The sequence below is a fragment of the Homo sapiens genome, chromosome 3 (assembly GCF_000001405.40).
Source record: "Homo sapiens chromosome 3, GRCh38.p14 Primary Assembly".
Taxonomy (NCBI): domain Eukaryota; kingdom Metazoa; phylum Chordata; class Mammalia; order Primates; family Hominidae; genus Homo; species Homo sapiens.
Genome location: NC_000003.12, coordinates 24558277 through 24565129, shown reverse-complemented (window position 1 = coordinate 24565129; position 6853 = coordinate 24558277).

Below are 6853 nucleotides of genomic sequence, written 5' to 3'. Positions count from 1 at the left end.
GATTGTTTATTTTTATTTCTGTGAAGAATGCCATTAGGATTTTGAGATGGATTGCATTGAGTCTGTATATTGCTTTGGGTAATGTGAACATCTAAAAAATATTAATTCTTCCAATCCATGAACTCAGGGATATGTTTTCATTTGTGTTTTTTTTCCTAATTTCTTTCATCAATGTTTTATAGTTTTCAGTGTATACATGGTCCCCAACTTATAATGGTCTGACTTACAATTTTTCAACTTTACAGTGGTGCAAAACCATCAAAATTTCAACATAGTGTATAGCATTCAATGAGTTACATGAACTATTCAACACTTTATTATAAAACAAATTTTGTTTTAAATGATTTTGCCTAACTGTAAGCTAATGTAAGTGTTCTGAGTACATTTATGGTAGTCTATACTAAGTAATTATGTTCATTAGGTTAGGTTTATTAAATGCTTTACATTTTCAAATTTTGATGGGCTTATTAGAAGGTAATTTTATCATAAGGAGCATCTATATAGATTTTTCACTTCTTTGCTTAAATTTATTCCTAGGCATTTTTGGATGATATTGTAAGTGGGATTTTCTTGATTTATTTTTCACTTAGGTCATTATTTGTGAATGAGAATGCCACAGAAAGAAATTTAAAATAGAAATACCATACGACTCAGCAATCTCTCTTCTGAGATTATATCCAAAGGAAATGAAATCACCACTTGATAAAGATACCTGCACTCCCAAGTTCATTACAGCATTATTCACAAAAGCTAAAATATGAGAACAACCTAAGTATCTATAGATAGACATATGGATAAATAAACTGTAGTACCTGTATCAGTGGAATATTAATCAGCCCTAAAAAGAACAAGATCTTGTCATTGCCACAACGTGAATGAACCTAGAGGACATTACGCTAAGTGAAATAAGCCAGACACAGAAACAAAAATATTGCACGAATAACTCACCTATATGTAGAGTCTGTTAAAAAAATCAAATATACAGAGATCGAGAACAAACAATGGTTACCAGGGATGTGGGGAGGGCAGGAAATGAGGAGATGTAGGTCAGAGAATACAAAGTGGCAAATATGTATGATTAACAGGTCAGATCTAATATACAACATGAGAATTATAGGTAATAAAATTGTACTGTATGTGAGATTCATGCTAAATGAGTAGATTTTACCTGCTCTTGCCACGAAAACAAACAGAAGGGTAACTATGTGAGATGATGATTATGTCAATTTGCTTCACCATAGTAACTTTTCTGCCATGTATATGCATCCCATAACATCATGCTATATGCCTTATTTATACACAATAAAAATTATTTTTAAAAAACACAACCATTAAAGGGATCTGAGCAGAGAAGTGCCATGATTTGTCTTAGACTTTAATGGATCACTATATTTACAATAGATTAGATTTTAGGGAGAAAGGACTGAAGTAGAGAGAATAGGAAGAAGGTTGTTTCAACAATAAACTGCATCAAACAGTGAAATCAGCAGGTCCTGCACAATAATTATGTAAGATCCGAATTACAGTGACTTACAAAGCTGAAGGGATGGTATATATTAAGCATGGGTCAGACTAAGCTATATAGTAATAAAATGAGACAAGCTAAATATTCCAATTAGATCTTCACGGTGGTTGGGGTGCAGTTGATAACCTGATCCTCAGTTTTGCAAATTTAGAGGGTCTTTTGTCAATTCACACATGACAGGCTCTTGAAATAAACTCAAGTCAACCAAAGTCCCACAAGAAACACTATAGACATATCTCACAGAACAACTAGTACAGGTCATTGGCATGGACAGAGACTGATTAAGGACTGAGCTAACCAGGCAGTTTCCAAGGTGCCAATTTATAAGGGTTATGAAAATGTCACTGGAATTATATCAAATTGAAATAATTGTTTTTAACTAGACTCCTCCCAGAGAGACTAGTCCCTGAAGATAGCTCTCCAGTGAACAATGCCGGCAGCTGAAGAAAAATGTTCACAGTATTCATACTCACATGTATTCGTCTGCTCTCTCCTTGACTCTGGGCTGTACATGTGACTCATTTCTTACCAACAGAATGAGGTGGAGGTGACCCTGCATGGCTTCAGAGGTTAGGTCAGAAGGAGCCTTATAGCTTCCACTTTTTTTCTAAGAACATTCACTCTGAGAAAGCCATCGGCTATGTAAAAAGCCTACTACACTGCTGTAGAAACCATGTGGAGGGGCTCTGAAGCTGTATGGAGAAAGAGAAGGCCCGGACGAGCCTGGCCTTGCAGTCATTCTGTAAGGCAGCAGGCATATCCTGAATGCCCCAGACCAGATGAGTTACTAGCTGAATACCTCTGAGTGGCTAGTCAAAAATCTTCCTGCCAAATTCTGCCTAAATTCTGGACAACAAAATCATGAAAAAAATAAAATGATTTTTACGTTAAGCCACTAACTTTTGAGGCAGTTCACTATGCAACAATAGCTATTATAAAAAGAACAATAGTGTATGTGTTTTGAAGGAATAATTTAATAAACCACTTAGAGATAAGACTCCTATACGGCCCCATCATAGGCATAATCACTGAGCATCATTAAGCCAACTTCTAATGAACGAGGCTAGGTGCAGTTATATAACGGTAGAGGACGCATGTTTGGAACCAGACTTTTTAATTTCTTAGGGCAGTGGAGGAGAGGAAGCATTACCACCAGTGACCTTCCTCAGTCTTTCTCCCATAGCACAGGGTGTGAGTCTAACCTGGGATGCTGGCCACTGCTTCTCTTTTCCAGGAGACTCATTCAGAAAAAAAAGAAATCGTATGTCAGTATGTTGTTCTATGAATACTGTATTAATATATAGGGAACAGATATCTTTGTTGGAATTGTGTTTGAAGTAGAAACTAGATGTTTGAGGTGAACACTAGATTTGGGGTTTTTTGAACTTTTTTTTTTTTTTTTGAGATAAAGAATCTCAATCTGTCACCCAGGTTGGTGTGCAGTGGTGTGATCATAGCTCACTGCAGCCTAAAACTCCTGGCCTCAAGCCATCCTCCTGCCTCAGTCTTAGCCTCAAGAATCACTGAGACTACAGGTATGAGCCCCAGTGGACACTAGATGTTTAAAATTCCTGGAAAGACACAATCCCAACTTCATGTTATATAAACCTATACTGTATGGTCCTAATTGTCTTAGGATGGAAAAATATTTTTCCACAGCTATTGATTGCCATATTTCTAAAAGCTATATGTACATCCATTCTCAATATAGGACAAATAACACATTGCAATTTGGTCATCATTATCTAAGACTCCAAGTGCAGGCATTATTTTATGATTTTCTAAGTCTCCTCCAAGACCATCCCCAACAAAATAAGTCAGGTTTAGCTTTTTTCACTTATGGGATTCAGTGTACACTTATGGGATTCAGTGTATAAGTAGCTTATTAGTATGTAGTATGATTTGATTAGAAAATATATATATTCTAGAAGACATACAATCAGAAGAAAACTTCATTTGGTCTTTGGTGTAATTCCTAAGGACAATAACACTTAACAATATCCAACTTTAAAGGAATATTCATTTATGGTAAACACTATGCTAGATAAGTCAATAAATTTCACACGAAACCCATAAGGTAGATATTATAATTTACATTTTATATCTAATCATATTAGAAAGCTAAGGCTTAGAAAACTTAAATATTCACTCATGGTTAAGTAACAGTACCCAGCTCCTAAGTCTATGTTCTTATTGGTGATTATAAGAAGGCAAGACCTGGCTGTAAGAATTTATAAAGATAATCATTGGCCACTAAGAAGGTAACTTTTTTGGTTTAAAACTCTCTCAGTCACTTGAACCCGGGAGGCGGAGGTTGAAGTGAGCCAAGATCACGCCACTGCACTCCAGCCTGGCGACAGCGAGACTCCATCTCAAAACAAAACAAAACAAAACAAAACAAAACAAAACAAAACCCTGTCTCAAACTTCAGAATATAAGAGGTAGAACATATTTGTGTTGTTTATTATCAACACTGGAAAACTATGAAAATATTAATTTGTATTAGATTAAGATTACCACACACTTTATTATACAAAATTACAAAGAATTGCTATAGATCAAAAACACAAAAGAGTTTATCCCCAGGAAAGCATTTCACTGAACTTTTATACTCTTGGGATAAATATGAGAAAAAGGAACAGTAAAATCTTGAAAAGCATTAGAACCCATTTCAACATCACGTGTGATTCTGGCATGCTTCTCCATTTATTTCTCCTTTAGGGTTTTCACAGTATTGATGACATGCCCATGAAAAAGAGAAAAATAGTCATGATTGAAAATATGGATCTGATTTAAATGTTCATGAAAATTCCAATTTCAACACTCAATATTTGGTGGATTTGTGTGTGTGTGGCCAAAAGACATAAATTTCTTTAATGTGAAAACTGGTAAAGTTAGGTTTTTTCATTTAAAAGCATGTTGAGTTAGCCTCTTCGCTTTCCAACTCAAATATCTTTGAAGTTCCAGAGATCTTATAACAATGCTGAAAATTAATACAACTTATCTAAGGCCAGCATTAGGAATATATTTCTAACTATAAGGCTCATGGAACTAGTTGAAGAAAAACCATATGGCCCAATGATGCTTTGTCCTTAAATAAGACAGAATCCCTTATTTAAAAGAATGGAAAAAATAGAGTAGGAGACTTCATCCTTTTTCCATTTCCCCTCACAGATCTGGGGTAGTAACCAAAATGAGTGACATTCTCCTGCACAATTCTGCTTTTCTAGGATTCCAAAGGGATGCCTAGCATCTTTACAATCGTGTTGAAACTCTATCTGCCAGAACATAGTAGGATGTGGAGTAGGGAGGTGTTCAGAAGGGAAGAAAGTTGTGCTAGCCTGAAAGTGGTACCCTTTGCCTCTAGTCCCCAGAAACAAAGAGCCATAAGAGTAAAAGCTTGGCTGCTCATTATGGAGGTGGGGGAGGGTACCTTTTGTCATGTGTCTATCACTTTAGCCCTACAGAGAACCAGGCATGGGTGGCAAGAAAATCCTTGAATCATGCTCACAGATTGTATTTTCTTCTAGAGTCATTTCTTATTTTCAGAAAAAAAAGAAACTCACAATGAGAGGATTCTTTCCTAAAATTTGAATAAGATATAAGTTAGTCTATTAAAAATGCAGCTCTCTTTTCAAAACTTTTCTGTCCAGCTAGGAAAGTTCTTCAGCACCATTTTTGGCACTTGCATTTCTTTAAGCAGCATTGAAAGGGTGAAGAGCTGTGAAAGCAACCAAAAAAATAAAATTAAAAAAGTCCTTTGTAGAACATATTGCACCAACTGCTTCCAATCACTGGTTTCCAATTACTGTCAAACAAGAATTCTGTTGGATTTCTTTAGCTATTTTCCTCTTTATCTTGATTTTGAATTTTTAAAAATGAATAATTTAGAGAGAACTGAAATTGTCCTCTATAAATTTTATCATTCCTTCTTTGAATAGTTATGGTAAATGACTTGAAGGCATTCATAATACATGTTCTCACTTTCTGAACAAATTCCTTGAAAACAGTACAAAGAGTTATATGCCAACTTTCTAGAAGATGAGATTGTGAATTAAATCATTTCTATATGTGGGAAAATTATACAAATCTACCAATACTAATGGCATGTGTCACTTTTAGAATTAAGGTTTGACTGCTATCTTGATGTAAGTCCAAGCTCATAACCTCTACTGTCAAGAGTCTTCCACCAACTTAGTCGGGCCCCTCATCCACAAAGTTTTCCCTACCTATATCACTGGCAAATAAATAAGATGCTGTTATATTGACTGCCTGTTTTTTAAAAATGGAATGTAACAGAGTTAGATTGTTTACATTCAGGTTACTTTTCATAAAAGTTTCACTGTCTCTTTTTGGTAAGAGTCCATGCCACTTGGGTTATGAAATGGACAGAAAAGATCTGAGTCTCTAGTAAGTCTCCTTATTTCCTTAAGGGAATACTCTCAAGGGCCTTTTTTAGTGAAAACAAGTAAGTTGATGATTAATTTTTATAAGAACTAATGCATCAAAAGTCAGAGCCCCTCTTTTCATCACAAGTTTCATTTTCACTGCAGAGTTTGATTTGTATAAGAATAGTTTCTAGATAGAGCTGAAATCAAAAAATAAAATAAAATCTATGAAAGAAAAATCCAACTTTGCAAGCTACTCTTTATCATTAGGACAAAGGCTTCTGTCTGGGATTTTGCTCTTTGATGCTTCATCATCTTTCCTCTAAGGAGGGAAATAAGAATTCATTCCTGAGTGCACAGTATTCTGAGCAACTCCTCCCACTGACTATGTGAGTAACAGGGGAGAGAAAGAATTTAGGGTTATTTCCCATGTTACTAAAAATTTGAGGTTTTTTTTTCATGTATTCAATTATCCTATTAAACACTGAAAACTGGGAAGGAAATGTTTAGAGCAAGGTGTCTTCGTGAAGAGTGCAGCATTTGTTGACATTTTCAAGAAGCACGATGCCCTCAGTGTGAGGAACCACGCCCACAACACAGCCTTTCAAATGTAGCCCTATCTGTACAAGCAGCCTGACTATTTTTTAATCAATTTTATTATTCCTGAAAAACACTCATGTATTTTAGAAAATTATTTTCCACAATTGGATTTTAAATGTGTCTTCAAGAATACTGGTTTCAAGAAGCGACTGTTGAGGATTTCTCAGCACAAAAAATCAGCAAGAATAATTTTTTATCCACCTTAACAAATGTTTAAATAAGTATATAGGCTGGGTGCAGTGGCTCATGTCTGCAATCCCAGCACTTCAGGAGGCTGAGGGGGGTGGATTGCCTGAGGTCAGGAGTTCGAAACCAGCCTGGCCCACAGGACAAAAACCTG